Raw genomic sequence first — 23,685 nt, 5'->3', positions numbered from 1 at the left:
TGTAAAATAGATGCCCCAGTTAGGGGTATGGCTAGAATAAAGCCACTGTCCCTAAAAGAAAATGAACCTACAGCTAAAGCTAGTGAGACCATACAAGGAAGAAAGTGGTCTGACTGATCTCATGTTATAGTTTCAAGAAGGAGCAGATGAACTCCGTGAACACTGAGTTATTCACTGTCAAGATGCACGATGTCCAATCAGTTCATTCTGATTTGCGGAATGTCATTAGATCACTAGCATCTAATAGGTGGATGAACTCAGTGTACTCAGGGGTGAACAGGTGTCTCACAGCTGGGAGCTGCCAGAGAGCCAAGGTGCAATCATGAACCATGTTTTCTGAAATTAGCTCTGATGAAAAATATTATTCCAGAGAGAAATTTTTCAAAGAATAGGCAGAGCATTTGGTAAATATAGGATTGAACACTGGAAAATTTAAAAGAATTTTGTTTCATTCTAATCACTGAATGGTAGTATACAGAATTCCATCTCTACAGTTGAAATTGCATCTCCATACGACAGACAACTGGATCTGAAGTTTAATATCTTGCATGGACATTACCATGATTACATATATAAATTACCCCAATCAAGGTGAACAAAGGTGAAATGATGCTGTGCTTATTTTTAAATATTTCTGCCTAGCACTAGTTGGATAGACTCAGCCAAACTTTGGGCCTAATTATCTGCTCCAATGATGAGAAGTGACATAAAACTATCAAAGATAACCTTACTCAGCACATCATATGTTTAAATAGCAAGTTGCAAATTACACTTTCAGAAGCAAGGTTACATCACCTTGTATTTGATAAAATGATTGGTTTGCCAAGGAAGGAGGATCCTACTTGCCCACTGTTCCAGCATTAGCACTACTTTTTCCAGCTTGCCTCATAAATCCTGGAATAAGGTAACTGATTTCCATCTATAGGCATACCTTGGAGATATCACAAGTTTTGTTCCAGGCTACCACAATAAGGCAAATATTGCAATAAAGTAAGTCACAGGATATTTTTTTTGTTTCCCAGTGCATATAAAAGTGACACTGACACTACAATGTAGTGTGTTAAGTGTGCAATAGCATTATGTCTAAAAAAAGTATCTACCTTAACTTAAAAAATATTGTATTGCTAAAAAAAATCTTGCTTAAAAAATATTGCTTAAAAAAGTTGGCTGCAGCAATTGACTCTTTATTTCACAAAATATTCCTCCATGATATGAACTGCTCTTTGATAGCATTTTACCAACAGTAGAACTTCTTTCAAAACTCAAGTCAATCCCCTTAAACTCTGGACTGCTTTGTCCACTAAATTTATGAAATATTTTAAAATCTTTGCTGTCATTTCAACAACGTTCACAGTATCTTCCCAGGAGTATATTCCATCTCAGGAAACCAGTTTCTTGGCTTATCTATAAGAAGTAACTCTTCATCCATTAAAGTTTTACTATGAGATTGCAGCAGTTCTGTCATATCTTCAGACCCCACTTCTAATTCTAGCTCTCTTGCTGTTTCCACCACATCTGCAGTTACTTCCTCCATTGAAGTCTCAATCCCTTCAAAGCTGAGACTTTGAGTTCCTGAGAGATGGAATCAACTTCTTCTAAACTACTATTAATGATATTTTGACCTCTCCCACCAATCTCAAATGTTGTTAATGACATACAGAATGGTGGATGTTTTCCAGAAGTTTTTAATTTACTTTGTCTAGATCTATCAGAAGAATTCCTATCTATGTCATCCATAGCCTTATTACTTCTTAAATAATAAGATGTCAAAGTTAAAATTACTCTTGATCCATGGGCTGCAGAATGGGTTTTGTGTTAACAGGCATGAAAACAACATTAATCTCCTTGTACATCTCCATCAGAGCTCTTGGGTGACCAGGTGCATTATAAATGAGCAGTAATATTTTGAAAGGAATCTTTTTTTTTTCTGAGCAGTAGGTCTGAACAGTGGGCTTAAAATATCCTGTACATCTATGCTGTTAAGTAGATGTGCTGTCATCCACACTTCATTGTTCCATTTATAGAGTACAGACAGAATAGATTTAGCATAACTCTTTAGGGCCCTAGGAGTTTCAGAATGATAAATGAGTATTGGCCTCAAATTCAAGTCATTAGCTGCATTAGCCCCTAACAAGAGAGTCAACCTGTCCTGTGAAGCTTAGAAGCTATGAAAGTCCTAGATGGCCTTTTCTTTCTATAGAAAGCTGTCTTATCTACATGGAAAATCTGTTGTTTTGTGTGGCCACCTGCTTCAATTATTTTAGCTAGATCTTCTGAAAAACTTGCCACAGCTTCTACATCAGCACTTGCTCCTTCACCTTGTACTTTGATGTTATGGAGATGGCTTCTTTTCTTAAATCTCATGAACCAACCTCTGCTTGCTTCACATTTTTCTGCTACAGCTTCATCACCTCTCTCAGCCTTCACAGAACTGAAAAAAGTTAGGGCCTTGCTCTGGATTAGGCTTTGGCTTAAGGGAATGCTGAGGCTGGTTTTATCTTTTATTCAGGCCACTAAAACTTTTTCCATATCAGCATGAGGCTGTTTCGTTTTCTTATCATTTGTGTTTTCATTGGAGTAGCACTTTTAATTCCCTTCTAGAACTTTTCCTTTGCATTCACAACTTAGCTAACTTTGGTACAAGAGGCCTAGCTTTTGGCTTATCTCAGCTTTTGACATGGCTTCCTCACTAAATTCCTTCGGTTTTCGATTTAAAGTGAGAGATGTGCCACCCTTCCTTTTACTTGAACACTTAATAGTCCATTGTAGGGTTATTAATTGGCCTAATTTCAATATTGTTGTGTCTCAAAGAATAGGGAGGCCTGAAGAGAGGAAGAGAGACAGGCGCCAATAGTGAAGCTTTCAGAACACACACAACATTTATTAAGTTTAGCATCTTCTATGAGCAGAGTTTGTAATGCTCCCAAAAAACTACAATAGTAACATCAAAGATAACTAATCATAGATCACCATAACAGATGAACAGCAAGTGAACACATGCTGCTTGAAAAATGATGCTGACAGACTTGCTTGAGTAAGGTTGCCAAAAAACTTCAATTTATAGGAAAACATATTATCTGCAAAGTACAATAAAGGGAAGCAAAATAAAAGGAGGCGGGGATTTGCTTATGGAAACAGCTTCGTATCTGTGATAAAGGAATATACTAAGTAAAATATGGACTACCCTGGACTGTCTAACACAACTACAACCGATATTCACTTGGACAAGAACTTAGTTCAAGTGCTTCTGTGGTCACACAACCCAAAAGGCCTCCACAGCAGAAAAGCTGCTATTAGGTACTCACTAACTAAGTACTGAGTCCCCAGTGTTTCCTGAGGGTTATTTCACAGGCTCCTGACCCTGAAGCCTCTCAGAGTTATTCCAACATTAAGGTCACTTCTATGAGGAAGAGGTGAGAGGAAAAAAGACCAATAGTGGAAGGCCAGCTTCAGCGCAACACATGTATTTAATAGTTTCTCTCATCTTTGAATATTTATTCACATTTCCCTTTAAAGTCTGTTTTTGAGGGGGAGAAGCTTTATTCGTACCTACTTAGTGGCTGCTTTATAGCAGTAAAATAGATGCTTTTGCAGAATTCTTTTCTGCTTTTCTTTTGTGAGACGGAGTCTCATTCTATCACCCAGTGGGGAGATGTCGGCTTACTCAATCTCTGCCTCGCAGGTTCAAGCATTCTCCTGCTTCAGCCTCCCGAGCAGCTGGGACTACAGGCGGGTACTACAGGCGCGCACCACAACGCCCGGCTAATTTTTGTATTTTTAGTAGAGACGGGGTTTCGCTATCTTGGCCAGGCTGTTCTCCAACTCCTGACCTCAGGAAATCCGCCCGCCTCGGCCTCCCAAAGTGGTGGGATTACAGGCGTGAGCCACCGCTCCTGGCCCCTGCCTTTTTATTAGAGATACAAATCACACACGCCCTTCGCTTCAAGGGGAGCCCCGCCCCCTACTTCGGGCATTCGGCCATCCTGTGTTCTCTAATGGCGTGGGGCAGAGCTATCGCGAGACTCCACTGTATCCTCAGCAAGTTTTTAACAGTGTGAACTTGCGCAGAAGAGACTCATGAAGCCAGCGCAGGAGAAAGGGGGCGGGGTGCTCTGACGAGCGCGTTCGCCTTGACCCCACGCTACAGCGCGCGCCCGGCAGCTAGGCGCTGTGGTTTCTGGGTCTCCCGGGGGACCCCTACACGTTCCGGCAAAAAGCGCTCGTGCCCACCTCAAGCCCATGTTCGGTGGGTGGCGAATGCGTGCCCGTGATCTGCTGGGTCTGTAGAGGAGCGCAGGCCTGGTGCAAACAGACTCAAGAGGCTCGGAGAACCAGCTTGGGTAGGCGCTTGGGTGATGGAAGGTCAGGGGTCAGAGGTCGGGAGGGAGGGAGGGAGGTGGTCTTTGGCCTCCGGGACCAGGGAGGGAGGACGCTGGTTGTCCTGGAGCCCGGGAAGCTCAAGGGCTGAGAGGGAGCCGCTGCGCGAGTCTTCCCCACCTCTTCCCGATCCCGGACTAGCGAACTTCGGACCACCACGTCCCTCCGGGGATAAAGTGGGGTCGTGGGAAAGGAGGCTGTGCTTCTCCTCATGCACTGGGGCCTGCGGTGTTTGTCTCGAGCGTCCAACACACTAGGATCCGGGAGTCCGTCGTCACGCTCCTTGGCCTCGCGGTCGCTTGTTTGCTCGGCCTGCTGGGAGCGATCCGGCGCTGACAGCCCCGCTCAGACTCCGGGAGCCGCTTGTGGGTCTTTCGGAAGATAACTGAGTGGGTACCGTGCGCCGCAGATCTACCCCCGGAGGCTGGAACTGGGTCGCCGCCTCCCTTCTTTGTGCGCGGCATTGTATTAGTAAAAGGGGAGGCAGAGGTTTCTCAGTCCCACTCAAAGTTCTCCGTTACCTTTGGAGCCAGATTAATTACATTCGAATTCAGAACCACTCTTTGACATTGTACAGTTTGACTGGTAGTTGCTATGTTTATGAACGAAGATAGGGTGTTATTTGATGATTAATAGTCACTGTATAATGATCAGTTAAATAATGACCAGGAAGCTTGTGCCCTTTTTCCAAGTAGTTTGACATTAGCACGAGGTAGAAATCCGAGATGTTTGATGCCTTCCAACTTGTACTTAAGGAACTTAAGGAACTTGGGGCTTTTTCTGAACAAAATAAGATAAAGTTATTACTGTTACTTTAAATTATTCCAGTGGGCATTAGTAGGAATGATGAAACTCTTGAATAGAAACGATCCATGATATCTCTACTGTCACAAAAAAGACTATTTAGTTTATGATTAGTAAACATGCTGGAGACAGAGCAGTCCTGAGCAGTATTGTAATGATTATGTCTGTGCTCGATAACCTGCACTTTCTAGAGCTTTAAAGGACCAGTTAACCAGTAAGCTGGCAATTGAGAATAAAATAGTTTACTTTTGAGAGATGCTCTTGTATATCCTCTTTGTCCACCCGAAAGGAGCTGGACTTACAGAATTATTAAAACAAAACTTTTATTATTAAGAGTTTAGGCCAGTAAGATTTAGGGGAAACAATTTGCTGGTGAAAAAGCTTCTTATGAGGGCATTTTTAAAGTTTATGTAACTAGCATATTTTAGCATTCAGTAGAAGAAAATACTCTCACCTTGCTGGAATTATTTCTACAGAAAAGGAAAAGATTATGTTAACCCTGGGTCATTAAGAGCTTCCTAGTACTTAGTAATGAGTGGGCTTCATTTCCATAACACAACATTTTGGACAGGAATATGGCAAGTATGTAATCCTTTTTGCCCTTAATAGCCTAAACCCAGATCTACCATGGATTTGTTGTAATTCAAGATTTGTGTGTATCTTTTAAAGAGGAAATAATATTTTGGAGGGAAAAAATGTGAATTTAAGTTGTGTTATTCATTTGTTGGATTGTCTTAGTAATGTAACATTTTATGTTTATTTTTCTAGCATTCCATCCTTGTTTTCTGTTAAAGATACAGTTCAGGCAGTTTTCCCTGCCTCGTTCTAGTATTTCATTTTTCTCAGAAATACTAGTTTCATATTACCTATAGTCTTCTAGAATGTGGATAAGAGAGACTTCTCCAAAAAGAAATAAGAGTAAAGTATCGTTAGGTCCTCAAAAGGAGGGAATACATCCACGGAATTAGAGATCTTTGTTTCACCCTTTTTGTATGTCTTTACTTCCTAGCACTGACCTGGCATTGGGAGTACAACACTGAATAGGATACTACTCCTGCCCATCTTTCAAAGTGAACACTCTAGCAGTTGGGATCGAGGAGAGAGAGGCCCTTAACTCAGCTTCTCTAGTCATGGAAGCCTTTCCAGGGAAGATTGGGATGGAGACAGGCATAAAAGCAATTCAAGCAAAAGGCTTTTATATTTAAATACAAGACAGTAAAAGTGCGGTCCATATAGAAAACTTCACATAATTACGTTTTACCCAAACACTGCTAATTAAGGAGGAGGAAGAAGTAGTTGTGACTGATAAGGTATGAATAAAACCAGAAGAATATGGGATGTGGTTAGATACAGAATTTCACCAGTACTTGACTTACTAGTTGCCAAATTGCATTTTAGTCATAAGTATATTTGACCAAATACTATTTTCTTTGGTTCAAGAAGTTAACCCTGAATAGAGATTTCCTTAAGTAAAGACTCAGTCAAAACCAGGAGCTTTTTGTTTGGTTGGTTGATTTTTGATCATGAATGTTTACTCAGTTAAGAACTGGACAAAGGGAGAGCATTGCTAGAAATTCTGGTGTTGACTTTTCTGCAGTTTATCATTATCACTGATAAGTACCTTGAGGCACTAATATTGGAAGAATCAGGCTGAAAGAATACATCTGAAGGAATGTGCAAATTATAATGGTGTACATAATTTAAAAGATACTGGATAGGTTTTACCAGAGAACAGAATAAATAGTTGAAGTAATGTTTTCTGGTTTGGTAATATGTCTGTTACAAAATTATTGTGGGAAACATGGCACATATTACTTCTCACATTCCATTGGCTAGGACTGGTCACAGGACCAAACCAAGCTGGGCAGTCATTTCTCAACTACTCTATACTTTGAGTGGAAATAAGTGGATTTTAGTTGGCAGCTGGTTATCCATAACAAGGTTTTTTGAACTTGGCTGCACCCTGGAATTTTTTAGGGATTCTAAAAAATAAAGGGAGTAGTGCCTGGGCCCTTCTCCAAGACATTCTGACTTAGTTGGCTCGACATCAGGATTTTTTTAAGTTCCCCTGGTGATTCTAATGTGCAGTCAAGTTTGAGAAGCACTAATCTGTGGTCCCCCATCCTGCGACATTACAGTTTGGTTATTGTGAAATGTGGTTTAGAGCAGGGGTCCCCACCCCTCAGGCCATGGACCGGTGCCAGTCCGTGGCCTGTTAGAACCGGGCTGCATTGCAGGAGGTGAGTTGCGGGCAAGCGAGCATTACCACCTGAGCTGTGCCTCCTGTCAGATCAACAGTCAGTAGATTACCATAAGAGCATGAATGCTATCGTGAACTGCATATGCGCAGGATCTAGGTTGTGCACTTCTTATTAAAACCTAATGCCTGATGATCTAAGGTGGAATAGTTTCATCCCTAAACAACCCCCTCTCCACTCCACCCCTCTCCTCCGGTCCATGGAAAACTTGTCTTCCATGAAACCCATTTATGGTACCAAAAAGGTTGGGAACTGCTGGTTTAGAGTGTTCTCAGGATGATGATAAGTAGCAACTACCATTTATGGAATACAGGCCAAATTTCTAGTACTGCTGTTGTACTTAAATTATTTCTAACCACAATCCTGCTATCATCCCCATTTTAGAGATGAGAAAATTGGCACAGAAGACTGGATAACTATTCCAATGCCACACAGTCAGTAAATGCCAAAGCTGGAATTAGAATGAATATAAGACTTCAAAGCATTGCATTCTCACCTTTAAGCCACATCGCTTTGCTAATGTGAGACTCTGCTAGACAGTTGCTTTTTGGGTTTTCAGAGTTAATGATTCCACAATAACCATGTTATTAATATTATTATGGTTAGTGTGATACATTGTGTAACTGGCCCAATTCCCTTCCAACACTCCCTCTACCCTTCCACCCCCCATATCCATGCTCTTTGCCATGTGCAGTTTCACCTAGTAAAGAGGTGTAGTATATTTCTTCACCACTTGACATTGGGTCCATGGATATGTCTTGCTTTGGTCTGTGGCACCTTAGTGGTTTTTAAGCACTTTGAAAACTACTTGTGTGATTGGATTTGCAGTAATACACCTCAACCATTGCCATAAAGAACATTCCTGAGTTACTTTGCTGATCCAAGGAGAGGGGATAGGAACTACATTAAGCAGAGCCAAACTGCTTTTCCAGAAACCTAGCCTAGATTAGCCTCCTTCAGCTAATGTGCAGATCTATGAGAATAAATGATTGCTATATCAAGGTATTGAGCTTTGAGGTAGTGTGTTACACAGCATGTTTGTGGCAGTAGTTAACTGATAAGCTACTATAGCATAACTTTTTAAAGTTCCTGCAGAGTGACCCACTTTCAGTATTCCAGCTTATGCTTTGAGGAAAACTGGACAAACATAAACACTTAGGAAATTAAGAGCTTTCTATATTATTCCACTAAGATAAGAGAGGATAAGATGCTTTAAAAGTAGTTGACCATAGCCAAGGATTGATTTTAATCCATCACCTGCACATTCATAAGTGAAGCACGGGCTAAGGGAATAGAATTCTCATGATTGACTTAAACAAGCACTGTCTGATACATAGACTTTTTGCAATTATGTGAATGCTCTATATTTGTGCTGTCCAGTACAGTAGCCACTAGTCACATAGCGCTACTGAGCACATGGGGCTAGTGAGACTGAAGAGCTGAGTTTATAACATTTAATTTTATTTATAGTCATGCATCACTTAATGATGGGGCTGTGTTTTGAGGAATGCATCATAGGCAAGTTTGTTGTGTGAACATCTTAAGAGTATACTTACACAAACCTAGGTGGTACCGCCAGCCTACTACACACCTAGGCTCTATGGTACAGCCTGCTGCTCCTAGGCTACAAACCTGTACAGTATATTCGGTACTGGATACTGTAGGCAGTTGTCACACCGTAGTATTTGTATATTTAAACATATTTAAATATAGAAAATGTACAATAAAGATATGGTATAAAAGATAAAAAATAGTACACCTTTGTGGGGTACTTAGCATGAATGCAGCTTATAACACTGAAGGTTGCTCTGGGTTAGTCAGGGAGTGAATGTGAAGGCCTGGGACATTACTGTACACTTCTGTAGACTTTGTAAACACTGTACACTTATGCTACACAAAGTTTATTAAAAAATAAAGTAATGCGGCTAGGCGCGGTGGCTCACGCCTGTAGTCCCAGCACTTTGGGAGGCTGAGGCATGCAGATCTTGAGTTCAGGAGTTCAAAACCATCCTGGCTAACACATGAAACCCCGTCTCTACTAAAAATACAAAAAAAAAGTTAGCTGGGCATAGTGGCAGGCGCCTGTAGTCCCAGCTACTCAGGAGGCTGAGGCAGGAGAATGGCATGAACCCAGGAGGTGGAGCTTGCAGTGAGCAGAGATCACGCCACTGCACTCCAGCTGGGCAACAGAGTGAGTCTCTATCTCAATAAATAAATAAATAAATAAATGCATTATGATGTTACAATGGCTATGATGTCACTAGTCCATAGGAATTTTTCAGCTCCCTTATGGAACCACTGTAATATTTGGTCCCTCATTGACCAAAATGTCATTATACAATGCATAACTGTATTGAAAGTTAAGTAGTCACATGCAGCCAATAACTACCTTATTGGATTTGCTTTGGCCAATAGTAGCTAGAAACTACTTCCTTGGAGGTGCCAAGGAAATCACTTCCTTTGAATCATAGGGCCACCTTGTTCCTAAATAAAGGTTCAGTCATCAGGGAAGGAGGATAGACCTTAGGCAGGTAAATAATGTCACTTTAGTTTCTTTTATGGTTATTGGTCTATTCATATTTTCCTTCTTGGGCCAGTTTTGTTCATTTGTATTTTGTTAGCAAAATTTTATCACTTTATAATTTATCATTTTATCTAGATTTTTCAGATTTATTGAATAAAGTTATACTTAATATTAAAATTTCTAAATCTCGTGCATCTTTTTGTTTTTGCTCTTTAAATCAACTTTATGATATAATTTATGTATAAGAAAATTCAATTTAAAGTATATAATTTGATGAGTTTTGACAGATGTATACTCTGCAATCATGTGTTGAACATTTATGTCACCCCAAAGCCTGCCTTCCTGCTCCTTTACTGTCAGTCACCTCTTTATACTTCCTTGCCCCTGGTAACCACTCATCTACTTTCTGCAATCAGGTTTTTGCCATTTCTAGAATTTCATGTAAATGGAATCATATAGTATATAGTCTTTCACATCTAGCTTTCTTCAGTTTAGCATAATGCTTTAACAGTTCATTCAGGTTATTTTACAGAAGTCTCTTTTTATCACAGAATAGTATTCCATTGTGTGACTATGCCACAATTTGTCCATTCACCAGTTGATGGACATTTGGGTTTTCTTCCAGTTTGGGGCTTTTAATAGTAAAGCTGTTAACATTCAAGTTTAAATTTTTGTGGATTTATGTTTTGATTTCTCTTGGATAAATACCTAAGAGAGGGATTACTAGGCTGCATAGTAAGTTATATTCAATTTTATTAGAAACTGATACTTTTCCAAAGTGACTGTGCTGTGTTCAAATGTTGGAGAGTTCAGTTCTGTTTGAGCCATACTCTCAGTGTTTTAAATTTTTGACTATTTTAGTATATGAATAGTGGCATCTCATTGTGATTTGTGGGTTGAATTTGTATTGCTTTAATGACTGATGCTGGTGAAAATATTTTCATATGCTTATTTTACACTTATAGGTCATCTTTGGTGAAATGTCTATTCAAAATTTTTGACTTTTTTAAATGTTTGTCTTACTATTAATTTGTGAGAGTTCTTTATATATTCTGCAAACATATCCTTCATCAGATACTTGATTTGCTAATATTTTCTCCCATCTGTGACTTGCTGTCATATTTTGATGACAGTATCTTTTGAAGAACCAAAATATTTAATTTTGATGAAACTTAGTTTATCATATTCTTACATAGTCTATGGTTTTTGTTTCCTGCTTAAAAATTTTTGTGCCTTTTTTTTGGGCTAATCCAATGTCATTTAGGTTTTCTCCTCTGTTTTCTTTGAGAAGTTTTAGTTTTAGCTTTTATAGTTTATTATCTATTTTTAGTTAATTCTTACATTTTAGGAGGTAAAGCTTCATTTCATTGCATATTGGTATCCATTTACTAAAAGGATACCTTTCCCATTGACTGCCTCTGAACTTCTTTCAAAAATCAATTGACCATCCATGTGTGGGTCCACTACAGGACATTTCCCTTGATCTATATGTTGGTCTTTACACCACTACTGCACCATTTTTATTTCTTTTGACATATGTCTTGGAATCAGTGTAAGTCATTCAACTTTATTTTTCTTTTCTAAAATTATATTGACTTTCCTGTATTGTAGGCATTTTAGTATAAATTTTAACATCAGGTTGTCAGTTTCTACAGAACAAACCTGTTGGAATTTTGAATGGGATTGCTTTTCTATAGGTCAGTACTAAGAAATTGACATCTGAACATTTTGAGTCTTCTAGTCCATGAACATAGTACACTGTATAGATCTCTGATTATACTGTTATACTATTTTCTAAATTTTTATGTATGCTTGAAAATTTTCAGAATGAAAGTATAGTAAGTTATCTTTTACAGAAATTTAAAAATCAAGAAAAAAGTTTACTATATTTATACACATATTTTTTGTTTTTGCTTTTTATTTCCTTGTGTGTGGATCCAGATTTCCATCTGATGTCATATTTCTTCTACCCAAGCGCTTCTTACATTACTTAGATTGTAGGTATACAGGTGATAAGTCCTTTTGGCTTTTGTTGATCTTTTTTTCACCTTCATTTTTGAAAGATATTTTGCTGGGTTTAGAGCTGTGGGGTGGGAGCAGTGTCTAAACCAGAGAAATAGGGCCAATCTGGAGAGAAGTCCTCACTTTTCAGTAATTTAATTATGGCATACCTTATTGTGATTGTTCTTTATGTTTGCCCTGATTGGGTTTCATTGAGCTTCTTGGTTTTCTGAGTTGATGGTTTTTATAGAAGTTGGAAAATTTTCATGCATGATTTTTTCAAAAAGTTTTTTGTATCCTTTCCATTCTTTGCTGCTGAGATTCCAGTTTTATGCATGTTTGACTCCTTAACATTGTCTAGTAGGTTTCTGATGTTCTATTTATTGTTTTTTCAGTCTTTGTTTATCTCTACTTCATTTTTGACAGTTTCTGTTGTTACTGTTGTTTCCATTGTTTAAGCTTATTCTGCTTCTTTTTTTCTTTGCCATTTCTAATCTGCTGGTAATCTCATACAATGTGTTTTTCGTTTTAGATGTTGCATTTCCATCTGCATAAATTCTATAGGAGTCACTTGTATATCTATCATTTTTCTTTGTCATATTCATGTTTTCCTCTACCTTTAACATATTGAGAATATTTACAGTAGCTGTTTGAATGTTTGTTTCTGCTAATTATATCATCTGTGTCTTTTCTGGGGCTTTTTGATTTTTTTCTTGTAATGGGTCTTATTTTTCTGTTTTATTTTCATTTTTTTTGCGTGCCTGATAATTTTAGATTTGATGCCAGACATTTGTGTTGGATTTTGTTTCGCTCTTTTAAGTATTGTTGGGCTTTGTTCTGAGGGGCAGTTAAATTACTTGGGATTGAGAGATTTACCTTCCTATTATATTGCTTATTAAATGTATTTCTACAATTTATTTTATTTTATACAACAAATTGCCTTTACTATTAAAGACTAGCAAAACCATTAGAATTTATTTGATAAATGAGATTATGGTTAATATGTTCATTCCTTAGTCATAATGACCTGGTAAAAAAATTACTCATTGCCTTATATCTCACAGAAGATTTCATATTATGTTTATGGGCTATGAATTTATGCTGAATTTCTCATCTGGTAACCCTTAAATACTAAATCATCTCTTGTTATACCTCCTGTTGTTTCATTTGTCCTCTAGAGTTCACAGTTACCAGCCAAGAAAACTTGAAAATGAGCAGCCGACGGAAACGTGCTCCTCCAGTGAGGGTAGATGAGGAAAAGAGGCAGCAGCTTCATTGGAATATGCATGAGGACAGAAGGAATGAACCTATCATCATAAGTGATGATGACGAGCAGCCCTGCCCAGGTTCAGATACCTCTTCTGCTCATTATATCATTCTAAGTGATAGTCTAAAGGAAGAAGTGGCTCACAGAGATAAGAAGAGGTGTTCAAAAGTGGTGAGCTTCTCAAAACCAATTGAAAAAGAAGAGACTGTTGGTATTTTTTCCCCTTTGTCTGTAAAGTTAAATATTGTGATTTCTCCCTATCATTTTGATAATTCCTGGAAAGCATTTCTAGGAGAATTAACTCTTCAGCTTCTTCCTGCACAGAGTTTAATTGAAAATTTTTCCGAAAGGAGTATTACATTGATGAGTTCAGAGTCAAGCAATCAGTTCCTGATTTATGTTCATTCAAAAGGTGAAGATGTAGAGAAACAAAAAAAAGAACCGATGAGTATTTGTGACAAGGGTATTCTGGTGGAGTCATCCTTCAGTGGTGAAATGTTAGAAGATTTGGGGTGGCTACAAAAGAAGAGAAGAATAAAACTCTATCAGAAACCAGAAGGAAATCACATTATCAAGGTACTCAGTTTTTTGTGGTGTCTTTTTTGAGGCTCTTCTACATTGGCAGTCCAATTTTAAATTAACTTGTGAGAGAAGTCTGAAAAGCCAGCAATAAGCCTTTCATTGTTAAGTTTCAAAGTACACTTTAAGCTTTTAATAACTATTCAAAGTATGTTACAACTAATCATTTTCAGGCTACACTTTTTCAAGATCTTCCATCTCTACTTTCAGTGACTTGTTTTGGTCCTCATCATCAGTTCCTCTTACTGCAGCAGTCATTTAACCATTTATCTGTTTGCTATTTTGCCTTTTCAAATGCTTCGATTTTGTCTCTGGAATTGTATGATTGAATGCAAATGAAATTCTACCCATTACTGCCTACAGAATTAAGTATAATCTTTCTAATCTGGCACACAAGTTCCTCCCTTGACAAGCCCTTGAGCCTTACCCTTTATTACTCTGCTTTTTATTTTGTCCCAGAAACTCCAAATTGATTTATTTTCTCCATATACCACACTGACTTTCTGCGTCTTTGCTTTTGTTCTTATAGTTCCTTCTGCTTGAGTTGTTCCCTTCCCCTTCCCTGGTAATTCCTGGTTATTCTTTAATATTTAGTATAGCATTTAATTCACCCAGGGAGATCGTTTCTTAAATCTATTGGTAGTATTATGTGCCCTCTCCTCAGAATCTCTGGTAGATTTTTTTTTTTGGCCTTGGCGGCTTGTCACATACTTAACATTTTAGATCATTCCCCTCTGCTAAACTATGAAGCCTTTCATCTTTACAGCCTAGTAAAGTACCTGGTACCTAAATTTTCAGTAGATGAATGAATAAATTTGTAATTTATTTCAGTCTCTGTCATTCACTGGCCAAATAACTTTATGTGAATCATTTAAATGCTCTAATTTCAGTTTCTTTATGAAATGTAAATAATACCCATTCTTCTTACAGCATAGAATTGTGTTGAAAATCAGGCCAGATAATGTAAGAAAGTATACTTTGTAAACTGTGAAGCAAGTTAATATGCTTTTATGCTAAACCTGAAAATTTAAAATGTTAATTTCATGTTGTTTAACTGAAAACTGTCTCATATATTTCTTGCATCGATAACCTTAGTTATAGTTTTAGAATTGTCAGAAGGAAAGGAGAACATTTAGAATTATTAGACTCCAATTAATTTTTCCCTGTACAGTGAAACTATGTAATCAAACATTCCCTCTCTTTACTGATTTTGCCAAAATTGTGGCTCAGTGATAACAAGTATGTAACAATTTATGACTCACATATCTGTGTTCTATCTACGTTCCCTACAGACCAAGTGTTAATCTATTCTGTTTTTCCTGATCCTGAATTTTACAAATATTTAAACATTTATTGCTGCTGTAGTAAGACATCACCAAGCGAGCCAAGACAGAATACTAGCAGTAATGAAATACACTCTTTGTCATTCATTTCTGTGTAAGGCTGGTGGATTCCTGTTCTGTAGTGAAAGAATATGAGATTCTCAGTGATTAGGGAGTCAGGTACAACATAGTCAACATGAAGTAAAGGGAATTAACATTTATTGAGTGTCTACCATTAGAAACTTTTATAGTTATATTATTTAAGATGGACTTCTCTCCATTTTGTAAATGAGAACACTTAGGTCAAAATCAATAGGTTATTTTTCTCAAATTCATTTAGCTTCCAAATATCAATGCCAGTATTCAAAATCAAGTCTTTCAACTGTAAAACTTCATACCACATTGCTTCACTAGGGTCAAAATATTAACATTAATCAAGGTCTGTTTTTTTACACGTTTTAGTGTTTGATTCAGTAATGAGGATGCCCAAACCTAACTGTGCAGAAGATTCCTAGCATGTATGTCATAATCTTCTGGGGAAATCGGCATTTTTAACAAACTTGACTGATTAATTCATCAGTTTTGGGAATCATTGCATTGGTAGATAGAACTAGGTGTTCTTATCACATTCTCCCAGGTTCGATTTCAGTTAGGGGAATATTTTTTTCCAGCAACTCGAATTGTACATTGTAGGCACTTACATTTATAATTTGTTAGTGAAAATGAAACACGTGGGGGAAATTTGGTAGGCATGTATTTATTGTTTGTGTCACACATGCTATGAATACCTTTAAAAGTAGTGATGCTAATTTTTTCTTGCTTATGTCCTCATAAAGAATGGTATATTTCAAATGAAACTACTTTTATTTTGATTAATTGTTTTTAGGTTGGAATTTATCTTTTGGAAGCTGGCCTAGCAAAACTAGACTTCTTGAGTGATGCAAATTCAAGAATGAAAAAGTTCAATCAGCTCATGAAGAAAGTAATGGAAAAGTTACACAATTCTATTATTCCAGGTAATATTTACAGTAAACTTAAAAATTGCTATTACTTAGGAGTTGTGAGTTTTTTCCTCTAACCCCTGGACATAACAATCAGAAAAACAGCTAATAAAGCCATAATAAAAATTAAATGATTATATGGCAAATTATACTTATTTGAAATGCACCCACTAATATAATTTGTTTCTTTGGTTAACTCTGTGCTTACCTTATATTAAATATTAAAGAAATATTTGCGGAGTCAATATGCAAGTCAAAAGGCAGAGTCTAAAGGGATCTGAGCTGGTTGGGATTTTTGCATTATTCCTGTGCTTTTATTTTGTCATGGGCCAGAAATTCTTGGCTGGCGTTTATTCCACCTCTCCTTTGCAGTCTGACAAATAATTTCAAAAGCCTGGTTCCCATAAAGACCAGATAACTTTGCTCTGTTTCTTGGCAAGACGTTGCATCTTTGGTCAGGACTGCAGATTCAGAGTTGTCTGCCATTGGTCACCTTGGGAGAGTGTGGATGGCTTGGTGCAGCTCATCAACACTACTGGAAAAACAGCCCAAATTCTCCAAGTTCTGCTCATGGTGGGTCAGCATTATTTCAGGTGCAAATTATAGAACATTGTCATACTGGAGTATTTGAAAATCAGTTTCTAACTTCGATTGTTATTTCTCTAGTACATTCTTTGCAATGCTTTATAATATCAGTAATAGTAAATCGTTTTGCAAGTTAGATACTTTAAATTAGGAAATCTCTGGTTTCGGGATTAGAAGGAATGAATTTAAGTACATCTAGAGTTTTTAAACTTATGGCCTTTTAAAAATATTACAATTTGTTCATTTTAAAGCCTGGTATCTAAGGAAAACTTCAAATTTAGCTATTAATCTTAGATTATATAATTATAGTAAAAGTCTAAAACAACTGAGCATAAAGCTGTACATTAATTGTGAAGTTTTGGAAATTTTACATGGCATATTTATTGGAAAAAAATAAGTTGTGAATTTTTTGGTGTCATCTTTTAGTTTTAGAAGTTATGAGGTATGTCCTATAAAAGTATATAGGCCTCTTTCAAAGCAATTCAGAAATAAATGATATACTTTTTCACCTTGAAAGAATTATGTTTTTAATAAAGAACCATTAGCTGAAAGGAGTTTGTAAATATGTTCAAGGTTTTTATTACTTTTTTCATGTTATAGTAAGTATAAATCTTCTTCCACAGAACAATTGTGCCCACCAAGTGAACTTAGTGTTTTTACAAATTTGCATTAATAACATAATCACTTGTCTTCCAGTTGGCTGCTACTGCTACCAAATGCCTATCCTTTTCTAGCATAAGAAATAAAATGAGAACCCATTTCTTATTGGGCATAGAACAGTTATGTCTCCATATGGATTTTGTATGTTAAAATTACAAAAGTAAAGTAAGTTGTTCCTATATAAACTTCAAACAGTATTCACATTGAGTTCCTCAAATGTTTATAAAACATCCACAATAGACAATACACGTGTCAGCTACGTGTCAGCTTCTCTGAGGGGCTACAAAAATGAAAAACTTTGCCTTTGTTACCCTGGGGAAAGGACCAGTGGACATAAATGTTTGCAGTACCAGATAGATTACAATGTAATAATACTGTATCCACAGAGGAGAACATAATTCCAGCCAGGGAAAACAAAAGAAAATGCCATGGAAAAAGTATCAGTTAAACTTTCTTGAAGAATGGATGAGTAGATTTTTGATTAATGAAGAATTAAAGATAGGGCCTTTCAGTGACAAAACACACTGAGCAAGGCCCCAGAGTTGGGCAAGTTCATTGTATGCTCTTAGAATAAGAATTGCTTATAGTTAGAAAAAACCTATCAGTTTTTGAGTACATTTGCTGTGTGATGTACAGATGTGTTGGAAGAGGATGAAGATGATCCGGAGAGTGAGCCAGAGGGACAAGACATTGACGAGCTGTATCACTTTGTGAAACAAACACATCAGCAAGAAACGCAGTCCATCCAAGTGGATGTCCAGCATCCTGCATTGATCCCTGTGTTGAGACCCTACCAAAGAGAGGCTGTCAATTGGATGCTACAACAAGAGTGTTTCAGAAGCAGTCCTGCTACTGGTAAGAATAAGATGTTTAAAGAAAGTCCAATTGATTAGAGAGATTACATCAGAGACAATTAGGGCAGGGTGAAATTGATCATTAAAATAAACATCCTGAAAATATAAGATAGAATGGGTGCCATAAAATTATTTTCTAAGAAATTCTTTAAAATTGAAATCTAGAAAAATGAATTTGTGAGTTTCTTCATTCATAAAAGTTTGTACTGGTTTTTCTTGCCAAAAGGAAATCAATCCTGCCTCAATTGGAATTTTTAAAAACCAAGAAATTTTTTTTACATTCCTTTCAAACAAAGAATTGCTCTTTAGAATCTGGTCCAGTGGGAATCTTACTGACCATCTGCAAGAAACTCACAATGTAATGGTGAATGTTGGTGACAGAAAGCAAATTTACAAAAGTAGGAGACTTATGTGTGATGAATTTTCCTAGACTTTGCATTTTTTTCTTTACAGTAATAAAATGTCATCTGTTGAGTATTTTTATGAAAGTAGTAGTTTTACGGGAGGCATTTATGCCACTTCTTTATTGCTGTCTTTTTTCAATAACTTTGTGGGGGTAAAAGTGGTTTTTGGTTACATGGATGAATTGCATAGTGGTGAAGTCTGGGCTTTTAGTATACCCATCACCTGAATAGTGTATATCGTACCCACTATGTAATTTTTCATCCCTCACTTCCCTTCTGAGTTTCCAGTATCCGTTATACTATTCTGTATGCCCCCATGTACTTATAGCTTAGCTCACACTTGTAAGTAAGAACATGTGGTATTTGTTTTTCTGTTCCAGAGTTACTTCACTTGGGATAATGGCCTCCATTTTCATGCAAGTTGCTGCAAAAGACATTATTTCATTCTTTTTTGTGGCTGTATAGTATTCCATGGTTTCCATGGTGTGTATACACACCTGCCCCCCTCCACACACATTTTCTTTATCCACTCATTGGTTGATGGGCACTTAAGTTGATTTCATATCTTTGCAATTGTGAATTTGTACTTCAATAAACATGTAAGCATGGGTGACTTTTTGATATAATGACTTGTTTCACTTTGGGTAGATACCCAGTAGTGTTCTGGAGTGAATGATAGATCTACTTTTAGTTCTTTGAGAAATCTCCATACTGTTTTCCATAGAGATTGTACTAATTTGCATTCCCATCAGCCGTGTAAAAGCATTCCCTTTTTACTGGCTTCGTGCCAACATCCATAGTTTTTTGAATTTTTAATGGCCATTTTATTCTAGAATATAAAAATATAAAATATCTATTAATCTCTAAAGAAGCCAATTAAAAATTACTTGCTGTTTCATTGGTGGGTAGAGACATGCTACTTATTTGGCAGTTGGTTTAAATAAGTTAAAATATTAAGGAGAAGGCTAGTGGAAGATTCTGGTAGAAACAAACTCAGCACTTCTGAGTTATGGTTTTAGATATTTTTTTCCCAGTTAAGTAAGCCTTTCTTCCCACTCTCAGACCCGTAGAAGAGGTCAGGTCTGATTCGGGTAAATGTATTTAGCCACCTAGCATATGTCTATTGAGTTATTCAAAGACTTCATATAATTTATTGCAAGATTTATTAAAAATAGACTCATTCATCAGGTAGGAGCTGGTTATATGTATTAGTTTTCCTGTTAATTCTCTGTAATCTGCCACACTTTGCTTATCTGTCCTATTATTTGCTGATGTGGATTTGTGCCCAAAACAAAGGGAGCTAAAGAGTAATATCAGAAGAAAGGAAATAGAGGGACTTTTAGCTTTTTACTCATGTGTTAAGTATGTGGCTTTTCCAGAATGAGATTTCACAAGAATATGGGTATCACTATGCCAGAGTATCCTCACTGTTAACCTATTCTTTTTTTAATGTGATTATCTGACTGAAGGGAAAACAAAAATTTGTTATTATGATTATATTTTTCTTTAGAAAGTGCCCTGCACTTCTTATGGCGAGAGATTGTTACATCTGAGGGTCTGAAACTCTACTATAATCCATATACAGGCTGGTAAGGCAAAATTTTACTTATATGCTTGATTTAAAAAATAAATATAATGAAAAACTGTCTGAGATTGTTAGCATATCTGTAACTTTGACTCTACCTCATGAAGGAATCAAAGGTGAAGTCTTGATTAGACATATCTATGGATAGGATAGATTTAGAATTAATAGCACTTGTCATTTTTCAGTAAATGAATTTGGAATAATAGACATAAGGTGCTTAGTTATCAAGACTAAAAGAGATTATTATTTAAAGTAAAAATGTTATCTTGTTTATTATGGGGTCAGTTTTATTTTTTCTTAGTAATCATTAAACATCATGAATGAATAGTAGTTATTGCCCTTTGTATTTTTTTTTATTCATAGATTCATAAAGGTCATAGAAAGAAGGCAGACGTGTTCTCTTTTAACTACCACTCATTTCTGCAGAGTTACTTGTCAGCTCAGGCAGTTTTTTTGGTTATCACAGTTCTAATGTTTGTAATCTAAGGTTTGAATTGTTTTGCCCTAAAATATAGTTTCAATAAACTTAGACTTTATGCATTGCTTCCAGTTCTCTTTAGGAAAAGTAATTAGGAACATTGTAATTTGTATTCACATTCCTATGATGTGATTTATCTTGTTTTTTTCCTCAGCATCATTCGTGAGTACCCAAATTCTGGGCCGCAGTTGCTTGGTGGAATTTTAGCAGATGAGATGGGTCTTGGAAAGACAGTGGAGGTTTTGGCTCTGATTCTGACACATACTCGACAAGATGTCAAGCAAGATGCTCTCACTCTTCCCGAGGTAGGAGGGTATAGTAGGGCTTGCAAAAGCAGGGGACATATGTTCTCGAAAAGCATCGTATGTTGAACATTTGCTTGGCACTTAAGTCAACACTTTCTGTTCACTCTGTGGGTAATGATTTATATTAGTGGTTAGTTAACTTCAAGTGGGCAGAGAGAATGGGGTGTTTGTGACCCAGAAGGTTTATTTTTGAAGTAATGTTGGCCAACTAGGAAGAGAATTTGTGATCACTTACTGAACTTTCTTCTAGTTGGCAGAGAAACTCCTTTACAAAAGTACTGTTGACTCCTCAAATGTTTTGTCACTAATAAAGTCTCCATATTACTACTAAATATTTTTAAGAGCTATTTAAAAATGTTATACAAATCTCATATATATAAATCTTAGAACCAAATAATTAGAACTTTGTTAAAGAACAAGTAGCTTAGTAAATAGATTGCTAAATGAAACAAACTTCAAGTCCTTGTCCCAAAATACATAATTGTGTTTAAAAATATAAATTTTAGAGTTACAGAAACAAAGTCCACTAAGGCAAATATAGTATATAGCTCATATTTTCTAGTAATGAAATCTGAAATCAGCCCTTACATTAAATCTTGCTGAAATGAAGTCAGTAGTTAAAGGTATAATTATAATTAATTACCTCTAGGACCCACCAGTCTCACAGCTTTAGCATTATGTTATCTTTCAGTAGGGTCAAGTTTGCAGAATTAGCCTTTCAGATTTGAGTAGAAAATTTAAAAAAAAAATGTTTTTTTTGTAGACAAATGACTTGGAATATATTGACTTAACTATCAGTAACTTCTTTCTGAGATTTCCTACTCATTACTATTTTAATTCCAAGTTATTTTCATATTATTATAAATTCAATGGGTTAATTTTATATTTAAATATACCTTTAAAAGTTAATTTCAGAGGTTCCACACATAACATTTAGGTAATTTAAGATAATATGCACAATTTTTTAAGTGATAGCTAGCTGTAAACTCAGAAATAAAACTGTGTATGTATCTACAGCTATTTGGCCCTTTCTCTTGCAATTTTTTTAGAACTGTTTTGCATTTCCATAAAGAAGGAAAGTTAATTTCAATAAGCAATTCAGAATACTGAAAGCAAAACACTGTGTAACTACTGACTGTTGTTTGTATCAGGGAAAAGTGGTGAATTATTTTATTCCGTCACATTATTTTGGAGGAAAACTGAAAAAGACAGAAATCCAGAATATCGAATTTGAACCAAAAGAAAAAGTTCAATGCCCTCGTAAGTAAGACATCTCTTAAAGGAAATACCTTCTTATAGTGATCTTTGCTAGAGTTCTTGCAATCCTTAGAGATATCTTGTAATTGTTATAAACAATTGTTTTTACAGTTATATATGCTTTTGATAAATGAATTCAATTACAAGTCATAATATCTTAACAAAAGTAAAGATGTATTATTTTGTTTGACTTGGCCCAGGTAGTTCTTGCTCAGTCTGTTATATTTAAATCTCTTTAGCTTACAGTTTAAACCAGGCTTTATTTATCTTTTAGGAAATGAATGTTTCGCATACTAATGGTAGCGTATACTTAAATAATTGTGAGAGTTTTCTTTTATAATTTTGAATGATTGTTTTATAGTATTAACAATTCAATATGAGTAATTCTTCCTTTGATTATTTTTATTACAGTAATTTGTTTCTTAATATGCTGAGATACATTTTTATTACATATTTTTTCAAAATGGCACTCTGCTGTAATAAATCTTTGATTTATTTCTTTCTTAACTCAGTCCTCATGCAGATTAAGATTAACCAAGTTTTACTTTCTTTTCATTTTAATTATTTTGACTGATTTAGCATATCCTTTTACATTTAGCTACACGTGTGATGATACTGACAGCTGTGAAAGAAATGAATGGAAAAAAAGGAGTGTCCATCCTTTCCATCTATAAGTATGTCAGTTCTATATATAGATACGATGTTCAACGGAACAGGAGTCTTTTGAAACGGATGCTGAAATGTTTAATTTTTGAAGGTCTCGTGAAACAGATCAAAGGCCATGGTTTTTCTGGGACTTTTACATTGGGAAAGAATTACAAGGAAGAGGATATATGTGATAAAACAAAAAAGCAGGTAACAGAGCTTAAGTTCAGCTCTATATTAAGTACACGTATGTGATACCTTACTGAGTACATTGACAGATCCCACCTTGAAACTGAAACTCTTACGATCTGAAGATAAAAAAATAGGAAAAGTACTTATATCTGTAACTTCTACTTTCTACTTTGTGGATATAAACTCCGTGAGAGTAACTTTACTTTGGCTATCATTAAACCTAGAGAATAATGCTTGGCACGTAACAAATACTCAGATATTTATTGAGTGAATTAAAAAACTAGTTGGCTAAGCGTATTATAGAGTATAAAGCATCTTCTGTATTATTTATTTTTATTATTTTTTTAAGACACAGGGCATCTATTGCCCTGGCTAGAATGCAGTGGTCATAGCTAGCTGCAGCCTTGAACTCCTGTGCCAAGCTGTCATCTTGCCTTAGCTTCCCAAGTAGTTGTGAGTACAGGCTCATGTCACCATGCCTGGTTAATTTTTCTTGTTTTTTTGTAGAGACGGGGTTCTCACTATGTTGCCCAGGCAGGTCTGGAACTTCTAAATTCTCATTTTCTTTATATTATTATCTTATACAA

The 23,685-nt window shown here is 36.3% G+C and overlaps 1 protein-coding gene across 18 annotated transcripts in view, besides 5 other annotated features; it reads left to right on the top strand.

Annotated features, from left to right (window-relative positions):
• Positions 3,264-4,251: an enhancer, noted in NCBI's record as "H3K27ac hESC enhancer chr6:146285382-146286369 (GRCh37/hg19 assembly coordinates)". NCBI's record gives its function as "activates a minimal SCP1, AML or CMV promoter by ChIP-STARR-seq in primed H9 embryonic stem cells {active_cell/tissue: H9 hESC(primed)}" and the evidence as "EXISTENCE:reporter gene assay evidence [ECO:0000049][PMID:30033119]".
• Positions 3,264-4,382: a biological region, named in NCBI's record as "H3K27ac hESC enhancer GRCh37_chr6:146285382-146286369".
• Positions 3,663-3,712: an enhancer, noted in NCBI's record as "active region_25231". NCBI's record gives its function as "activates an Ori minimal core promoter by ATAC-STARR-seq in GM12878 lymphoblastoid cells {active_cell/tissue: GM12878}" and the evidence as "EXISTENCE:reporter gene assay evidence [ECO:0000049][PMID:35858748]".
• SHPRH (SNF2 histone linker PHD RING helicase) overlaps positions 4,139-23,685 on the top strand; it is a 106,521-nt gene continuing 86,974 nt past the window's right edge. For 11 of the 18 annotated variants that reach the window (XR_942393.4, XR_942390.4, XM_047418600.1 and 8 more), the window contains exons 1-8: positions 4,139-4,340; positions 13,143-13,807; positions 16,019-16,148; positions 18,015-18,233; positions 20,147-20,225; positions 20,854-21,004; positions 22,156-22,264; positions 22,860-23,116. Coding sequence is in view for 16 of the 18 variants with exons in the window: in XM_047418600.1 (XP_047274556.1) it covers positions 13,175-13,807; positions 16,019-16,148; positions 18,015-18,233; positions 20,147-20,225; positions 20,854-21,004; positions 22,156-22,264; positions 22,860-23,116 (1,578 nt within the window). In the remaining 2 variants the exon portion in view is untranslated. Of the gene's footprint in view, positions 4,767-13,142; positions 13,808-16,018; positions 16,149-18,014; positions 18,234-20,146; positions 20,226-20,853; positions 21,005-22,155; positions 22,265-22,859; positions 23,117-23,685 lie in introns of all 18 variants that reach the window. The other 7 variants (XM_047418601.1, XM_047418603.1, XM_017010692.2 and 4 more) reach the window with 2 other exon arrangements.
• Positions 4,163-4,382: an enhancer, noted in NCBI's record as "active region_25230". NCBI's record gives its function as "activates an Ori minimal core promoter by ATAC-STARR-seq in GM12878 lymphoblastoid cells {active_cell/tissue: GM12878}" and the evidence as "EXISTENCE:reporter gene assay evidence [ECO:0000049][PMID:35858748]".
• Positions 4,493-4,622: an enhancer, noted in NCBI's record as "active region_25229". NCBI's record gives its function as "activates an Ori minimal core promoter by ATAC-STARR-seq in GM12878 lymphoblastoid cells {active_cell/tissue: GM12878}" and the evidence as "EXISTENCE:reporter gene assay evidence [ECO:0000049][PMID:35858748]".

This window comes from Homo sapiens, chromosome 6 (assembly GCF_000001405.40).
Source record: "Homo sapiens chromosome 6, GRCh38.p14 Primary Assembly".
In the NCBI taxonomy this organism is placed as follows: Eukaryota; Metazoa; Chordata; class Mammalia; order Primates; family Hominidae; genus Homo; species Homo sapiens.
Note: the sequence above shows the minus strand (reverse complement) of the source record. Positions and strands in the feature narration are given on the sequence as shown.